Genomic DNA, 19,987 nt, shown 5'->3' with positions numbered 1-19,987 from the left:
AAGCAGGAGAATCACTTGAACCCTGGAGGTGGAGATTGCAGTGAGCCAAGATCATGCCATTGTACTCCAGCCTGGGCAACAAAAGCGAGACTACATCTCAAAACAAACAAACAAACAAACAAAAACCAAAAAGAAATTTTGTTTATGTTTGAAGAGAGAAACATGACAGAACACATGAGCAGCGATATGAAAGCATGTATTTATACTTCATTACATCATTCTAAGTTGGAAACATGAAGTAATAAAAGTAATCTGATTCTTTATTTAGAGATAAAGTAATGACACTTCAAAGTAACACCAGGCCAGGCGCAGTGGCTCACACCTGTAATCCCAGCACTTTGGGAGGCTGAGGCAGGCAGATCACAAGGTCAGGAGATTAAGACCATCCTGGCTAACACGGTGAAAACCCGTCTGTACTAAAAATACAAAAAATTAGCCAGGTGTGGTGGCATGCACCTGTAATCCCAGCTACTCAGGAGGCTGAGGCAGGAGAATCACTTGAACCTGGGAGGCGGAGGTTATAGAGAGCTGAGATCACACCACTGCACTCCAGCCTGGGTGACAGAGCAAGACTTTGTCTCAAAAAAAAAGGAACACCAATGTGGATATAAGAATTCTAGCATTTAATGTCCATTCCACCCTTTGACTGATCCTCTGAATATTTCCCTAGAGGTTAGAGCTGCCCCTGGACACAGTTTCTCACTTTCAAATCCAATCCTCAAGTAACTCTAACACTCACCCAAAATAGCTTCCCTACCCTCTTCCTCTTTGTCCTTTCTGTCCTTATCATTTTGAGAACCAGCATGGCCTCCTGGAACTCTATTTTCTTTAATTTCTGACCTACATTATGCATAAAAGAAGGAAGGTCTAATAAACTGACTCAGCAAATAATAATGCTTTTTATTTAGAACATGCAGAAAAGAAATGCCTTTGAATTATAATACACAAATCATATTTCTCTATTTAATAATAACATATTAATAACTCAACATTAGATAAGTATGAGCATTATGTGACAGTCAATGCAACTGTTACAGAGTATGGAGAATAGCAGATATATTTGCACAGTGAAACATAGGAAACTCTCCGTAATGGAGGTCGAATGTTCACTAGATCTTCAGGGAAGGGAAAATGTGAGATGACAGGTGAGAAAAGGCATTACAGATAGTGAAAGATGGATAATGCCCCAGAGGAAAGAGAGCTGCAGGGACTGCACAGCAGCAGCCAGGCCATCTGCTCTTCTTCAGACAGGAATGAAGCACAGCTGGTAGAAGGGCGGCACAGAGGCAAATCCATTGACAACTGGAGTGGTGTCAAGGTTCTTTGGGTCAACCAGAGATTTCAGGTTAAAGTTCTGTAAAATGGAGGTCAGGAATAAAAACAGCTCCATGCCGGCCAGGGCTTCTCCCACACAAATCCGTTTTCCTGAAAATAGCAAACACAGAGAGCAGTTACTCCTCATGCGTAACTGTGACAGTGACAAACACTGTCTCTGTAACTGGCACAAACAGAATATGCAATAACTGTTCAGTGTATCGTAGAAGAGATGAAGAGATAGATGGGTGGATGGGTGCATGCATGAATGAATGGATGGATGAGTGGATGGATAAATGGATGAATGGATGGATGTATAGGCAACTGAAAAATGAATGGACATACTTACTCTTCACCTAATATCAGATCTTAACAGGCACCCTGTATTCAACAAATATTTGTTGAGTACCAGCTACATGCCAAGCACTTTATTAAAATCTTTCAAGAGACTTTAAATGTCTTCATCAATCTTTCTTTAGAAACATACATTTCTTGTCCAGTGGGTTGAACTGAGAAGGGCTTAGAGGAGGAGGCTAACATACTGTATTTCCCTTTGTATTTCTGGCTCAATATGCAGCCAAAGATTTTTTTCCTCTAGGTACTTTCAGGAGCACATGTCTAAACATGTCACCTTCTCACTTTAAAACTTTAAATGGCTTCCCTGTATGTCCTATAGGATAAGGTCCCAATGGATTGATCTGGACCCTCACATTCTGTTTCCAGTCTGATGATCCACATCACTCCTTACACTCTTCAAATCCGATACTGTCAACTCTAGGCATAGCCACTCATCATCAGTCTCCAACACACCATGAGGTTTCAAATTTTATATCATGCTGCTCCTTTTAGCCAAGATGAACTTTTCTATTACCACAGTCAGGACATAGGTCAAATTTTATCTCCTTTTTTACCCTCTTTCTCATCTCCTTGAGCAAGAAAATGTTGCCTTCTCTGGGTTTCCTCAACATTATATTTCCATTGAAAAATGTGCTATGGTCTGAATATGCCTCCCCCAATTTCATATGTTGACACATAATCCCAATGCAACATTACTAAAGAGATGGCTCCTTTTAGGAAGTGAATAAGTCAGGAGGGCTCTGTCCTTGCTAAAATAATAACATCAAGAGATGCAAGGGAGCCATTTCTCCCCTTTTGCCTTTTTGCCCTTCTGCCATATAAGGATACAGAGGGGGCATTATCTGTAAGGAACAGGCCCACATCAGACACTGAACTTGCTGACACATCGATCTTGGAACTCCCAGCCTTCAGAACTGTGAGAAATAAATTTCCATTATTTATCAATTGCCTAGTCTTGGATATTTTGTTATGGCAGAAGAAACAGACAGCATGGATCACCTAGAATAATAATTACTGATTTATTTATTTATTTATTAGTGTGCGATATGGTTGGGCTCTGTGTCCTTACTCAAATCTCATGTCAAACTGTAATTCCCAATGTTGGGGGAGATACCTGGTGAGAGGTGATTGAATCATGGGGGATAATTTCCCCCTTTCTGTTCTCATGATAGTGAGTGAGTTCTCATGAGATCTGGTTGTTTAAAGGTATGTAGCCTTTCCTCATTGTTCTCTCTCTTCTGCTCTGCCATGGAAAGATGTGCTTGCTTCCGCTCTGCCTCCCACCATGATTGCAAGTTTCTTGAGGTCTCCCAGCCATGCTTCCTGTACAGCCTGTGGATCTGTGAGTGAATTAAACCTCTTTTCTTCATAAATTACCCAATCTCAGGTAGTTCTTTAAGGCAATGTAAGAGTGGACTAATACATGTGCTAAATGTGAATGCTTGAAGGAAGGTTTCTTTTCTTGTTGTCTTGGTATCTACAGTGGCAGATATAAAGCAGACATTAAAGGTCATAGAATAAAGGAAGGAGATTCTATCACCAGATGCTCAGCACACACATTTCAAGTATGGAGATCCAACATCCAATATACATGGCCATGACTAGGGGAACAGCATGGTGCTCTGCATCACTGCAGAGTATCCTGCTACATTCCCAATGTCCCCCTCATCCCATCCATGGTCATTTGGCAAAGGTTCTAATATCCTTTATTTAGAGCCAATGTCCTGCTCCTGTGGCTCATTATCTCCTTTAATAGCCCTGTCTTCTCTTCTTTTCATCCTCTCTGCCTCCTTTGAGGTAGCTCAAATGTCTTTACTGCTATTAAAATATTACTTATGCCTCACTTTGGGGTATAAGAGTACAAGAAGCAGACAGCTTTTCCGTCTACCTCCCAACCCCCAACAGCCTGTTCTTTCCATATCACAGCCTCAGTCCTATTGAACTACAATGATCTGTTTACTCTGCTTTCCAAACTCAGAAGTGAGCCTTTTAAGACCCTATTCTGTGTTTGTGGATAATTTTATCCTACAAGCCCAGCCTAGGGGGTGAGGGACACCATGTGGAAGACACTCAGTGAAGTTCTGGAGTGAGATAACTTCCTCATGGCTAGTGAGGAAAATGTAATTAGTTTTATCTTCCAGGAGGAGTTCTTGGGTACCTCACTGGTGTACCTAGAGGCAGAATTCAACCAACCTATATTTCAGCTTTCTCAATTTGGAAGAATTGGATTAACTCCCCAAAGTCCACTAATCTGGCCCAATAATTAGGATGTATCATGAGCAGGGTGTACACAGGCATTCAGAACAGTGCTCTTGATCATGTACAAAGAGTAATTGTACCACTGCAGAGGAGGCACATGTAAGTTCCAATGGATCAAAAAAGTTATCTTGTACCCTGAAACACAAATGGAAATAAATTTATATTACCTGCTGAGAAAGGCATGAAGTATTTACTTTTCTTAAAATTGCCACCTTCATCCAGAAAGTGATGAGGGTCAAACATCTCTGGGTTGGGAAATTCTTTGTTGTCATGTAGCACAGAAGTCAGGGAAATTAATATGGTTGTGCCCTAGAAACAAGAGACATAGATGAACTGAGCTGTAAAGAAGCCATGAAGGTTGAAGAAACAGTGGTAATCATGTAGTTAAATCTTTTGATGTGCAGATGAGGAAATCCCGTTCCAAAGAAGGGCAGTACCATTTCCAGATGGATAGACCAAGTAATAAGAGTCATGAACTTAAGGCCCATGACAATAATCTTGCTAAAGTGCCCTGCAATCACATTTGAAGTCCTGAGTACTTGGATACTTGGATGCAACCTTCTGAATCTGTCCTCCTTTTCATCAAGCTTGGAAACTAGTGGCTGTCCACACTTGCTTCTCTATTCCATCACTTCAGTTTTCACCAACCTTATGTGTAGAGTATAACTAAAAGTTGAAGTCTCTGTTGACATGGGAAATGGCCACAGTATCTGTTCACAGGGCATTTGTGAATAAACATATGATTGAATTTCAAATGACATCTTCTGGGATGGTAACAAGTGTAGTGGCAAGGATAAAACTATTGAGTTCTTGTCATTGCCATGCAGTTTGTTTGTCTTCATTTAAAGATATGGGAGAGATATTCATTACAGATTAATCCTAGCTTAAAAATACGGAAGGAATGATGAAATTAGAAAAATCACCTATTTGTAACCATTCAGGTCAAGATCATCAGGTCAGATGAGGATCATTAATGAAAGATAAAACTATTGGATGTGTGACTTGGGAAACAGGGTGTTCTGCCTTGAAGTACCATGCCATAGATTTTCATCATTCACGCATAAAAAGCAGAACCCCTTCAATGGAAAGATCTGGCAGATTCCAACTTATTAGGTGAGGATCTTAGCATAACCAATAATGGCATATGTGACATTATGTGCCCCTGCCTCACCACTGTGATTCAGCAGAATATTCAAAATACTATGTAGTTTTCTTGCCAAAGTCATAACTGGAATATAATATTTAGAAAACAATTACCCAAAACGAGCCCCAGGAAAATTTAAATGACTAATTGCTCAACTCTTCACAGAGATCAACATACTGAAAGGAAACAGAGGAAATGGACTCTTCTTGATTACAGGAGATGGAAAGTAACAGGATACTGAAACTATGTGCTTATTTCTTGACTGGAGAGTGAATTGCAAGAAAAAAGTGATTAAAATATTATTTTAAAGTTGGGAAATTTTAAATAAAAGCTGTATAGTAAATAATATTATTGTATTAATAACTCCACAGTATGAATGCTATTATTATGTAGGAGAAAACCATTGTTATTGTGCTATACATACTGAAGTATTGAGGTGTAAATAGATGGATGGACAGATATCAGAGTAGATATGTATACACACTGCCATATGTACATATACATATGTGTGTGTAATGTTATTTATTTTAAAAAATTTTATAATAAAAATGTTAGGAAAAATTCTACCCCCTAAATTTTCATATAAATAGTCTATAATTTTGTTTTTTAAAAATATTCCCTTGAATATTTATAAACAAGTACTATATTAAAATGTTATTGATACCAAAGCAGATTTATTTCAACAAATGTTACTTGAATAAGTAGAAATTTATAGACATTGAAGCATGACCACTATTACTTCATATTATGAAATAAAAATTAATTTGAAATATGTCATTGATCTAGATATAAGAGCTAAAACAAAAAAATTCTGGGAAAGTTGAAAGCCAGTCTTTGGAATCTTGTGCTGACAAATATTCTTTAAATATGACATAAAAGCACAAATCAATCGCACATCTTTGCAGAAAATTCTACTGGACAGGGATGTCTTATATTAGGCATCAATAAAAAATACTCCCTGCACAAGTCCACCCTGCCACCTGTTTTTGTATAGTATGTGAGCTAAAAGTACTTACATTGAACAAATGCAAACAAGAAACAATATTTTTGAAACAAACATTTTATAGGAAATTTACATTTGTTTCTATAAAAATTGGAACATATCAATCCTCATTCATTTGCAGATTGTTTGTGACTGCTATCATGCTACAATAGCAGATGTCAAGAATTGCAACAGAAACCACATTGCCTGAAAAGTCTAAAATATTTACTATCTGGCCCATTACAGAGACAGTTTGCCAACTCCTGTCTCAGACTATCATCTCCAGCTAGATAAGTGGATCCAGCCTGTAGCAGAAGAACACATGTATCTGATTTGTAAAGAGGGTAGAATTGGCCACACAGTGCTGCTTTTTTCTGCACTGGGCTATTCCACGAAGAAGGGATTCAATGGGTAATCCCCTTGGGCTCTGGCTTCTCAGGGCTCAAAAGACATCAGGCACAGCATGAGCTCATCAGATGCAGCGTTCCCCTCCAGGAGGTCACCAAAGCTGATGCAGTGAACTGGGGAGACTGGCAACTCGTGCCTGATTCTTCAGTATATTTCTCATTTAATTAGTTATAGGAGAAGAAGTAAGTTTCATTACCATTACCCTCAGACCCTAATTTTGAGAAGCGAAAGTCTCCTGGTTATCTCCTGTGTTTGTGAAAACAGAGTGCATTGAAGTCTTTTCTCTTGTACTAACTCAGTGACCACTAGGGTAAGCCCCATAATCTCTAAGTAAATTATCAATTCTGTCTTCTTCAAAAGATGACATTAGTAATTGCAACCTTACCAAGTCTCATTGCTTTTTCCCCTTGAAAATACAACTTTCAGTTATATTATTTTTTATTTTACTAATAATATATATTGGTTTTGATTGGAAAAGAGTAGGTTTGAGATGGCAAATGGAGTGTCTGGATAAATACAGAAACCATGTGATAGAAGGCACTGCAAAGCTGTCAAGACAAAAATTGGTCTCAAGCTTCCAAAGGTAGGAGAACCTCAGAGAGCTAAGCTAACACTGACACTCAATTTTCAACTGGATTCACATTATGTCCAATTCTGAATCATGACAACAGGTATCATGTCATTATGACTGCCGATGGGAGAGGAATGAATCTTTCTTTGAAGAATATAAACCTCCTCTGCAATTCTGCAATTTCTTACATATACCATCTGGTATTTAACCAAAAGTTATCAGGCATTTCAAAGATACAACTAAGTGATCACAAGAAGAAAAGTGGGGAGAGGGAACGGCAATAAAAACAGTCTCACATTAGGAAACATTTCTTGCATAGTTTTATAAGGCTGGCATAATCTTAATATCAAAAATCTTGAAAATTCTGAGAAATAAAACTATAAACCAAATCTCTTGTGAATGTAAACACTGAAGTCCTAAACAATATGAAGAAGGCCAGTTCATCTCTATGTGCATACTTATTTCTATTTAGTGAGAAATGTAAGCCCAATATATATAATCTGATGTTGTGTGGATATTTGTCCCCTCCAAATCTCATGTTGAAATGTGATTCTCAATGTTGGAGGTGGGTTCTGGTGTGAGAAGTATTTAGGACATGGGGGTGAATTCTTCATGAGTGGCTTAAACCTCTTCCCATGATAATAAGTGAGTTCATATTCTGTTAGTTCACACACTAGCTGGTTGTTTAAAGTCACTTCTACTCCTTTTTCTCTTACTCCCTCTCTTGCCATGTGACATGCTTGCTTCCCCTTCACCTTCTCCGAAGATTGAAAGCTACCTGAAGTCCTTACTAGGAGTAGATGCCTGCCCACATTATGCCTCTTGCACAGCCTGCAGAGCCATGAGCCAAAATGAAACTCTTTTATTTATAAATTACCCAGTCAAAGATATTCCTTTATAGCAATGGAAATGGACTAACACACAATTATATAAATAGATGCAGAGTGTTGATTTGACAAGATTTTACACACAATTATGACATATATATATATGACAGCAAACTTCTCTAATCTGATAAAAAATATCTACCAAAATCTACTTCAAGCATCATTCTCAATATTGAAATGGAAAACTTCCACTGCTTCCTGCAGATTAGAAATGAGAAACAAGGATCCCCACTGTCACCAATTCTATTCAATGCTCTCCTAGAAATTCTAGCTAATGCAATAATGAATGTGATAAAGAGACATTAAGCCCATGAGAAATGGAAAATAAGAAATAAAACAATATTAACTCAGATACAGTATAATATACACAGAAATTACAATGAATCCAGAAATAAATTACGAATAGTGACTAGTAAATTTAGCAAAGTTGACAGATTAACATCATCAGAATGATAAAAACTATTTATGTTCTACAACAAAAATATTAATTATCTAGGGAAAACCAAAGACTCGAAAGCCATGACAACAAATTCACAACATTCCTGGTTAAATAAAAGAAACCCCAAACAAATTGGAAGCATAATTATATTCAGGAATGGAAAGCCTCAACGTGTCAAGATTCAGTTCTTTCCAAACTAGCCTATAAATTTAGTGTCACCCTGCCAGAAATTCCAGCCCAAGGTTTTGGGAAATTGACAAACTAATACCTTTAAAAATTATTTGGAAATATAAGCACCTAAGAGTAGCCAAACCAATCTTGAAGAAAGATAATAAATCTGGAGAACACACACTGCCAGACACTAGGACCTGTTACAAACCTTTATAGCCCCAAACTGGAAACAAGAGAAAGTCCAGTTAAACTGCCATACATATGAGTTATGCACTTCTCTCACCCGGTGATGGTAGAGGTTTAAAAATGATACTATGAATTTGGGGACTTCGAAAACATGGAGTTGCAGTGTAGGAGAAACAAACTTACCTTGGGAATGAGATAGTTTCTGAATTTAATGTCACAGGTCACTGCATGGGGCAGGCTGGTGGGGAGAAGGTCAATGTATCTCTGGACCTCGTGCACCACAGCATCTGTGTAGGGCATGTGGCTCCTGTCTTGCATGCAGGGGCTCCGGTTTCTGCCAATCACACGTTCAATCTCTTCCTGGACTTTAGCTGATAAGACACAAGTAAAAACTGATGGAAAAGGAGAAAAATGGCACATTTGTTGTAGCAATTCAGGGGTATATGAATCATGAAGGTATCCAAACATCATTATAAATTTAAATTATAGTGCTGGAAGTATATGCAAACTTAAAGAGAGGATGGTTACAGATGCACAAATGTGTAACTGCCATAAACCAGATATTAAGAAAAATCTGTACACATATAAGTGGAGAAAATTCTCTTCAATAAAGGAAGACAGGAAGAAATGAAAGAAGGAAGAGAAGTCCACAAAACAACCAGAAAACAAATAACAAAGGGGCATGGGTAAGTCCTTACTTATCAATAATAACACTGAATGTAAATGGAATAAAATCTCCAATCAAAAGACATACTGACCTGTTACTGACCTGGATGGAAAAACAAGACCTATTAATCTGTTGCCTAAAAGAAACACACTTCACTTATAAAGACACACATAGGCTGAAAATAAAGGAATTGAATGAGACAGTACCTGCCAATGGAAATGAAAAAAAGAGCATGAGTTACTATATTTAAAACAGACAAAGTAGATTTCAAAACAAAAACCATAAGGAGACACAAAGAAGATCACTATTGGTGATAAAGTGGTCAGCTTGGCAAGAAGATGGAACAAGTTTAAATATATATGCAACCAATAATGCAGCACCCAGATATATAAAAGACATATAATTAGAACTAGAGAGAGATAGGCCCCAATATAATAATACCTGGAGACTTCAACACCCCACTTTCAGCATTGGACAGGTCATCCAGATAGAAAATCAACAAGGAAACATTGAAATTCATCTGCACTATAGATCAAATGGATCTCATAGATATTTGCAGGATATTTTATCCAACTGCTACAGAATACACATTCTTTTCCACAGCACATGGATTGTTATCAAGAATTGACCGTATGTTAGGTCACAAAACAAGTCTTAAAATATTCAAAGAAACTGAAATAATATCAAGCATCTTCTCTGACCACAATGTAATAAAACCAGCAACCAATAACAAGAGGAATTTTGGAAACTACACAAATAAATGGAAATTTAAAAATATGCTCATAAATGAACAGTGGACCCATGAAGAGATTAAAAAGAAAATTGAAAAATTTCTTGAAACAAATGATAATGGAAACACAACATACCAAAACCTAGGGGTTACAGCAAGACCAGTACTAAGAGGGAAGTTTATAGCTACAAGAGCTTATATCAAAAATGGAGAAAATTGACAAACAAACAATTTAATGATGCATCCTAAAGAATTAGAAAAGCAAAAGCAAATTAAAACCAAAATTAGTAGAAGAAAAGGAATAATAAAGATCAGAGCAGAAATAAATAAAATTTAAGTGAAGAAAACAAAACAAAAGATCAATGAAACAAAAAGTTGCTTTTTTGAGAAGTTAAACAAAATTGACAAACCGTTAGCCAGACTAAGAAAAAAAAAAAGAGTAGATTCAGATAAATAAAAAATTAAAAAGGAGGCATTAGAACTGATACTGCAGAAATTCAAAGAATAATTATTGGTTACTATGAGCAACTATATGCCAATAAATTGGAAAATCTAGAAGAAATGGACAAATCCCTACACAAATATGACCCATCAAGATTGAACCAGGAAGAAATCCAAAATCTGAACATGCAATAACCAGCACAAAGATCAAACGAGAAATAAAATCATCCCAGTAGAGAAAATCCCAAGACTGGCTAGCTTCACTGCTGAATTTTACCAAACATTTAAAGAAGAACTAATACCGACCCTACTCAAACTATTCCAAAAAATAAAGGAGAAGAGAATACTTCCAAACTCATTCTATGAGGCCAGTATTACCCTGATACCAAAATCAGACTAAGACACATCAAAAAAAAAAAAAAAAAAAAAAAAAACTACAGGCCAATACACCTGATGAACACTAATGCAAAAATCTTCAACAAAACACTAGCAAACCAAATTCAACAATACAATAAAAAGGTCATTCACAATGACCAAGTGGGATTTATCCCTTGGATGCAAGAATGGTTCAACATGTGCAAATCAAGCAGTGTGATACATCATATCAACAGAATGAAGGATAAAAGCCATATGATCATTTCAGTTGATGCTGAAAAAGTATTTGATAAAATTTAACATCCCTTCTTGATGAAAATTCATAAAAAAAACTTGAGATAGAAGGAACATACCTCAACATAAAAAAGCTATATGACAGACCCACAACTAGTACTATCCTGAATGGAGAAAATAGGAAGTCTTTCCTGTAAGATCAGGAACACAACAAGGATGCCCATTGTCACCATTGTTATTCATCATAGTACTGGATGACCTAGCAAGAGCAATCAGACAAGAGAAAGATATAAAGGCTATCAAAATTGGAAAGGAAGAAGTCAAAATATCCTTGTGTGCAGATGATATAACCTTATAGTAGGAAAAACTAAAGATTCTACAAGATAATTATTAGAACTGATGAACAAATTCAGTAAAGTTGAAGGATACACAATCAACATAAAAATCAGTAGTGTTGTTATATGCCAACAGTGAAAAAAAAGAAAAAGAAATTTAAAAAATAATCCCATTGAAAATAGCCATACATAATTTTAAATACCTAGGATTAATTTAACCAAAGAATTGAAAGATCTCTATAATGAAAACTATAAAACACTGAGGAAAGAAATTTAAGAGGACCCAACAAACAGAAAAATATTTCATGTTCATGGATTGGAAAAATCAATATTGTTAAAGTGCCCATACTATCAAAACAATCTACAGGTTCAATAAAATTCCTATCAAAATATCAATGGCATTCTTCACAGAAATAGAAAAAATAAATCCTAAAATGTATATGGACCCACAAAAGACCCAGAATAGTCAAAACTATCCTAAGCAAAAGGAACAAAACTGGAGGAATCACATTATCTCACTTCAAATTAAACTACAGAGCTATACTAACTAAAACAGCATGGTACTGACATAAAAACAAACACATGGACCAATGAAACAGAATAGAGAATTCAGAAACAAGTTCACGTATCTAGAGTTAACTCATTTTTGACAAAGGGGCTGATATGGTTTGGCTGTGTCCCCACCCCAAATCTCATCTTGAATTGAAATAATCCCCACAAGTCAAGGGGGAGGCCAGGTAGGGATCATTGAATCATGGGGGTGGTTTCCTCCATATTTTTCTCATGATAGTGACTAAATCTCACAACATCTGATGGTTTTATAAATGTGAGTTCCCCTGCAAAGCTATCTGCCTGCTACCACGTAAGACATGACTTTTCTCCTCATTCATCTTCTGCCATGATTGTGAGGCCTCTCCAGCCATGTGGAACTGTGAGTCCATTAAACTTCTTTCCTTTATAAATTACCCAGTCTTGTGTATGGCTTTATTAGAGGCATGAGAACAGACTAACACAGGTGCCAAGAACGTACACTGGGGGAAAGACAGTCTCTTCAATAAATGTGCTGGGAAAATTTAATATCCTACAGAGAAGAATGAAACTGGACTCATATCCCTTGCCATATACAAAAATCAACTCAAAATGGATTAAAGACTTAAGTCTAAGACCTCAAACTGTGAAACTACTATAGGAAAACACTAGGGAAAATCTCCAGGACATTGGTCTAGGCAAAAATTTTTCGAGCAATACCCTACAAGCACAGGCATTCAAAGCAAACATGAACAAATGGGATCACATCAAGTTAAAAAGCTTCTGCACAGCCAAAGATACAATCAACAAAGGGAAAAGACAATCCACAGAATGGAGAGAAATATTTGCAAACTATTCATCTGACAAGAGATTAGTAATCAGAATATATAAGAAATTCAAGCAACTCTATAGAAAAAAAATCTAATAATCCAATCCAAAAGTGGGCAAAAGATTTGAATAGATGTTTCTCAAAAGAAGATATATAAATGGGTTACAGGCATACAAAAAGGTGGTCAACACCACTGATCCTCAGAGAAATATAAATCAAAACTACAATGAGATGTCATCTCACTCCAGTTAAAATGGCTTATATCCAAAAGACAGGCAATAACAAATGCTAGTGAGGATGTGGAGATAAGTGGACCCTCGTACAGTGTTGGTGGGAATGCAAATTAGTGTGACCTCTATGGAGAGCTGTTTAAATGTTCCTCAAAATCCTAAAAATAAAGCGACCATATGATCCAACAACCCTACTGCTTGGTATATACCCAAAAGAAAGGAAATAGGTATATCGAAGAGGTATCTGCACTCTTGTTTGTTGCAGCACTGTTTACAATAGCTAAGACTTTGAAACAACCTAAATATGCATCAACAGACAAATGTATAAAGAAAATGTAGTACATATACGCAATGTAGTTCTATTCAGCCATAAAAAGAATGAGATTCAGTCATTTGCAACAACATGAAGGGAACTGGAGATCATTACGTTAAGTGAAATAAGCCAGGCACAGAAAGACGAACATAGCATGTTCTCACTTATTTGTGGGATCTAAAAATAAAAGAATTGAACTAATGGACATAAAGTGTAGAAAGATGGTTACCAGAGACTCGAAAGGGTAGTGTGGGGGGAGGGGAGGTGGAGATGAATAAGATCTACTATATGATAGCACAAAAGGGTGACTATAGTCAATAATAACTTAATTGTACGTTTTAAAATAACTTAAAGAGTGTAATTGAATTGTTTGTAACTCAAAGAATAAATGCTTGAGGGAATAGATACCCCATTCTCCATGACATGCTTATTTCACATTGCATGCCTGTATCAAAACATCTCATGTACCCCCAAACATATTGATATATACCTACTTTGTACCCATAAAAATTAAAAAAAATTAAAAGATATGTATATACATATACATTAGTATATATGATAATTAATACAAATAAAAATAATAAAATGTTTGAAAACATAAAGTAAGCATATAATTTAGTCATGAAATTACTGTCTTTGAAAAACAGATTAATTTCATATCAAAATAACATATGTTGCTTAAACGTTAAATTATACTATCAGATTTATGCATATATATGACTGTATTGGTGCATCTGTGTGTGGGAGGGGTCACAAATCACAATGGTATTCTCTTCATTCTCACACTTTCCAAATCTACCATTTTGAACATTCTAGCAGCTTCTTCTGAACATACATTCACATTTTTAAATACTCTGTTTCTAATTCTTACTTATCTTTTTGTAGATTATATTTAATAATTTTTTATTAAGAGAGATGAGAATTTTAATCTCCATCTTCCCCTCATATTTGAACACACCCTCAGATAGACACACTCACTTTTCCACACTGCTTTTTCCAGAATATATTTAGATGACAATTTTTATGATATCAGTATTCATTGCTTACATCATTCTGACTACACAAATATGGTTCTCTGGTAAGACAACTATGATTAAATTTTATTTTTGTACTTTCCTGGGCTTAACAATGTCTCTTTATTTCAATTTGTAATTTTCCATTTCCCAAGTTAGAATTATTTACAAATGTTCCAGCAGATGTTTGAAACTCCTTTTTAGTTATTGGAAACTCTCATAAAATCTGTCACATCTCTTTTGTTCTTGCTGTCTCATCTCACTTCTGAATTATCCCCCAGGTCTGTTCTGAAGTAGTTGTTTTCTAGGTCTGGTGCTAGGCAGCCTCCCTGACACTCTCATTCTCCTACACGAGGTTTCCTGATTGCTGGAGCTCAGGACTTTCTCTAACAAGGTTTCAGGCATTTGAATGAAGAACATTCTTCAGTATTTTTCTGAGAAAGGGAAAATGGTAAAAATTTTTGGCAAACATGCACATCTGAAAACACTATTTTTATTAATATACAAGATAATATTAATAGTTCTTCTTGAGAATTCTGAATTCTAATTCTTTCAATATAACCTGGTACAGCTCTGAAAGTTTTTGTGATTTTCCCTTTAATTCTCATGTCCTGAAATTCCATAACCCTGTATCTAGCAGTATATGTTTTCATTTCATTCACTCTGTTGGACATTGAAGAGAATTGTCTGTTAAGATGGCAAAAGAAAAATGCCATTTCTCTAGATCAGTTCCCTTTCTGTAGGATAGAGCTAGCTGCTGAATTTTAGGAAGGAAGATGAATAAAAGAGCTAAGAGTCTCTGAATTCAAGGAGTGGATGTGTACCTAATCTGTCTTTCTAGCCTACACCTCATGCCTTTTCTGGCACTGCTGTGTGTCTCTGAGTACAGGGCTTCTTAAGCTCAGTTTCTCTAGAGAGTGAGCCTCCTTCTTCTTGTGGAAGGAAATCAGTTACCTGATGAAAAGAGTTGTGGAGGAAACGTAGGCAGGGAGAGCCTCCTTTTTCAGCCTCATTCTCCACCATCTTTGACCCTCGGTACTTCCAAATACCAATATTGGGAGGATTTAAGGGACACTGATTAACTTTTCATCCTTGATAAATTTTTCTCTTCTGACCTTTTGGTTATAAGTTTACCCTCTCTGTACAGATATATCATTCCTCTATATGCTCTCTGTTTTTAGAAATTTGTTAAAGTCTTCTTGACTATTTCCTGTACTCTTCCTACCTTAAAGGACCTAAATGTCTAATATCCAAAATCTAAATATGTATCAACAGACAAAATCTATAAAAAACTTAAACAAATCAACAAGCAAAAAAAAAAAACAAAAAAAATCAATTAAAATTGGGCAAAAGACATGAACAGCCACTTCTCAATAGATGACATACAAGCAGCCAACAAACTTATGAAAAAATGCTCAACATCACTAATCATCAGAGAAATGCAAATCAAAATCACAATGAGGTACCATCTCACACCAGTCAGAATAGCAATTATTAATATTAAAAAGTCCAAAAACAACAGATGCTGGTGAGGTTGCAGAGAAATGGAAATGCTTTTACACTGTTGGTGGGTATGCAAACTAGTTCAGCCACTGTGGAAACCAGTTTGGATATTTCTGAAAGAACTTAAAATAGAACTACCAGTTGACCCAGCAATCCCACTATGGAGTATATGCCCCCAAAATATTCATTCTATCAATAAGACACACACCCCAATATGTTCACCCCAATATGTAGTGCTATTCACGATAGCAAAGAAATGGAATCAACTTATGTGCCCATCGACAGTGGATTGTATAAGGAAAATGTACCAAATATACACTGATATGGTTAGGCTGTGTCCCCACCAAAATCTCATCTTGAATTGTAGCTCCCATAATTCCCACACGTCACGGGAGGTACTCAATGTGAGGTAATTTAATCATGGAGGCCTGACTTTCCCATGCCATTCTTGTGATAGTGAATAAGTCTCTATCAGAGACTTATTGTGAGGCCTTTCCAGCCGTGTGGAATTGACAGTCCATTAAACCTCTTTCCTTTATGAGTTACCCTGTCTCAGGTATGTCTTTATTAGCAGCATGAGAACAGACTAGTACATACATAATGGAATGTTATGCAGCCATAAGAAAGAACAAAAGTTATGTCTTTTGCAGCATTATAGATGAAGCAGGAGGCCATTATCCTAAGCAATCTAATACAAGAACAGAAAACCAAATACCACATGTTCTTGCTTATAAGTGGGAGGTAAGCATTGAATACACAAGAACATAAAGATGGGAACAATAGACACTGAGGATCACTAGATGGGGGAGGGAGAGAAGAGATGTGGGCTGAAGAACCATCTGTTGGGTAATATGTTTACTGTCAGTGTGATGGAATAGCTGGGACCCCAAGCCTCAGTGTTACACAACTTACCTATGTAACAAACCTGTATTTGTACCCTTTAATCTATAATAAAATTTGACAAAAAATCTTCTAGAACTCTATAGGCTAGTAACTGTTCAAAAAAAAGCCTAATTCTTATTTATAATTAGGTTATTGTCATTTCAATGGGGGATACTGACATAGGAGAAAAAAAGAATATTTCTTATCTGCAGCATAACCAAAAGTCCTTAAAAGTAAATTTCTAAAGTAAAGTTGTTCATAAAAGATAAAATTATTGACTTCCTCAAAAAAATCTTATTTTGCCCAACAACAGTTTCATGGAAACTGTCTCAGGTACATATTCTGCCTAAATGGAACATTCTTTATATACCTCTTCTAGTAAACAGAATCACCTTTCTTATGAATCTAACTTTTTAGAGTACTTATTGGACTAGGAATTTTCTCAGGCAGATCACTACATTTTTAGGATTACCATTTATCCTTCAATAAGGAGAGTTTCAAGTTTCCCTACTCCAGCATTCGAACCTGAAATTTTGAGAATGAGAAAAGTTATCTTGAAGAATATACTTGCTATTTAAAATGGCCTTCTCATAATAAAACCAACATGCAATCCCAGGCCAATTTATCTTGTCTCTTCCTGCCATAAATCCAGACACATTGGACCAGAGTTCTACTGCTTTTGCTACTGCCATGCTGTCTTCATTTCTCTCAGTTATCTTCCTCTACTGTGCAAAGATGCCCCTTTTATCTTTTCTTTTTCTTTTTTTCTTTTTTTTTCTTTCTGAGACAGAGTCTCACTCTGTTGCCCAGACTGGAGTATAGTGGCAAAATCTTGGCTCACTACAACCTCCACCACCTGGGTTCAATTGATTCCAGTGCCTCAGCCCCTCGAGTAGCTGGGATTACAGCCATGTGCCACCATGCCTGGCTAAGTTTTGTATTTTTACTACAGATGGGATTTGGCCATGTTGGCCAGGCTGGTCTTGAACTCCTAGCCTCAAGTGATCCACCCACCTCAGCCTCCCAAAGTGCTGGGATTACAGGTGTGAGCCACCATGCCAGGCCAAGATATCCCATTGTAATCACCATTAGTTTGAAACAGATTACAGCTGGAAGCACAAAAGTTTAAATAATGAAGCTTCTCTAAGAGAAACAGGAAGGAGGACACTAGCAACACCTTCCCAAAATCTTTTCTGAAAATTAATTAACTTATCATCTCTGATCATACCTGTGACCTCTGGGTGCTTCAGCAGGAGAAGGAGAGCATATCTCAGGGTTGTGCTTGTCGTCTCTGTCCCAGCTCCAAACAAGTCAACTGCAGTGTTTTCCAAGCTTTCAATAGTAAATTCAGATGGTTGGTTGTGCTTTTCCTAGGAATGATTTGATGCAATTATCTGACAAATTATTTACCAGCATATTTGATTACAGTGAATTCAAAATTATTCACATAGTTATATAGTTACCAACATAGAAACTGGAAAGTACAGTACTAGAAAAAAAATACTGCTTGTATAGCAGAGGCTGTAGACCAACTTGCCCAAACTTTATTTCCTACTCCCTTATTCCATGCTTGCCTAAAAATTCCATTCATCAGGCTCTTTGCAGCTAGCTGAGTCACACAGCATATTTTTTTTTGCTAAAATATATAAGCAGAAGGTCTCTAGGTCCATTTCCTCTATTTCCTCTTTCATACTCAAAACACAAATGTGAAGTAGGAGGTAGAGTAGACCCCATCCTGGGATTTAATCATCAAAATGAAGGTCTGTATACTAAATTTAGTGGGAAAAAGGAAGGCACTTGACTCTCTGCTGCTTTGGGGCTGCTGTATTATCCTAGATTGCCCCACCAAGAGAATCCCTGTATTTGAGATAAATAAAGACATTATGTGTTAAAGCCATTATTACCTGTAGACAACCACAATCTAAATTAATAGAAAACGTAAATTGGGGCCATATCATTAGACACTGTGAGCCTGAATCAAGAGTCTGCAATTATATTTTTCTGTCAGAAAGGTACATGGACTCAATATTGCCCCCAGATTCATTATAAAGTTGAAATTTTGTAAAAACAAATATTAAAAAAGCAATATGACAGCAAAACCTAAGATAAATTATAGAGGAAGAGAATGGGTTTACAATGACAAGATGGGCCCACACTATTATAATCTAGATGGGAGGCAACAGACAACTTGTTCTAGGGTGCAGTAGTGCAGGAATAAACAAAAATATACAAAGTGAAGAGAAAGAACAATGATGAAGATGGAGAATAAAGGGATTAATTGCCACAGGGGATAAAGGAGAGAGTAAGGATACTGCATATGCCAAGGCTTAGAGACTGGAGTTCTCATAATTTGGAAGTTGGGAGAAAGAAAGCAATGGATAAGGAATACTTAGTTGAAAGAGATCATCAATATAAAAAACGTATTACTTTTTAACCAGCCCCAAGGCCAGCAGCAATAAATTAATGATGCTTTTAGAGTCTCCAAGTGATGTGTGTCATGTTGAATATTGTGTAATCAACACCACTGAAATAGACTAGATTCTCTCAACATGTGTAGACAAAGACAGTCCTCTCCCTTGGTAACATCAGCTTCACACAGTTTTCTAAGCTTGCCATGTTGAAAATTACTCTTAAGTAAGAAGAACAGTGCAGTCACAAACCAGTATTAACATTTCCATCTCTTGACTTGAGCTTGGTTACTTAGCATTAATAAGGTAGTATATCCTATCTTATTAATGATAGTAGCCATATTCTACTTGCTGGGCTCAAATCTAAAGAGCACCCCTTCTACATCAGAGGCAGGCCACGGCATTTTCCTGCACCTCACCCTCAGAAACAGATTCACAGCCACAACTCAGTCTGTGGGCTTCAGCTGCTAAGGTGTGCTAGAGTCATAGACCTTGGTTCTGTGGGTAATCTGCATTCAACACTGCCACAGAGAGTGAACCTGCACCGCAAGACCCAGGTGTCACAATACATGATTAAAAGACCCTGAGTCTAGAATGATGCTTCTATGACAACTTCAAGGATCTGTACTTGTAACCCAGCACCAATGCCGCTGAGTTAATGCCATGTCAGAGATGACACCAAAAGGAATCCCTTAGGCTAAGTCACCCCAATTTTAGGAAAATAAAAATAGGAGGACGCCCAAATACTTTGACACTAAGGACATTAACAACCTACACTGCT

General features: G+C 36.7%; 1 protein-coding gene across 1 annotated transcript in view, besides 1 other annotated feature; it reads right to left on the bottom strand.

Annotated features, from left to right (window-relative positions):
- CYP2C9 (cytochrome P450 family 2 subfamily C member 9) overlaps positions 181-19,987 on the bottom strand; it is a 51,434-nt gene continuing 31,627 nt past the window's right edge. Inside the window, exons 6-9 of the mRNA NM_000771.4 lie at positions 18,027-18,168; positions 8,902-9,089; positions 4,098-4,239; positions 181-1,425 (exon numbers count right to left, since the gene is read on the bottom strand). Of these exons, the coding sequence (NP_000762.2) occupies positions 1,244-1,425; positions 4,098-4,239; positions 8,902-9,089; positions 18,027-18,168 (654 nt within the window). The 3' untranslated portion in view covers positions 181-1,243. The remainder of the gene's footprint in view (positions 1,426-4,097; positions 4,240-8,901; positions 9,090-18,026; positions 18,169-19,987) is intronic.
- Positions 6,288-6,792: an enhancer, noted in NCBI's record as "NANOG hESC enhancer chr10:96743237-96743741 (GRCh37/hg19 assembly coordinates)". NCBI's record gives its function as "activates a minimal SCP1, AML or CMV promoter by ChIP-STARR-seq in naive H9 embryonic stem cells {active_cell/tissue: H9 hESC(naive)}" and the evidence as "EXISTENCE:reporter gene assay evidence [ECO:0000049][PMID:30033119]".

Source organism: Homo sapiens, chromosome 10, assembly GCF_000001405.40.
Source record: "Homo sapiens chromosome 10, GRCh38.p14 Primary Assembly".
Taxonomy (NCBI): Eukaryota; Metazoa; Chordata; class Mammalia; order Primates; family Hominidae; genus Homo; species Homo sapiens.
This window is presented reverse-complemented; position numbering and strand designations above follow the sequence as displayed.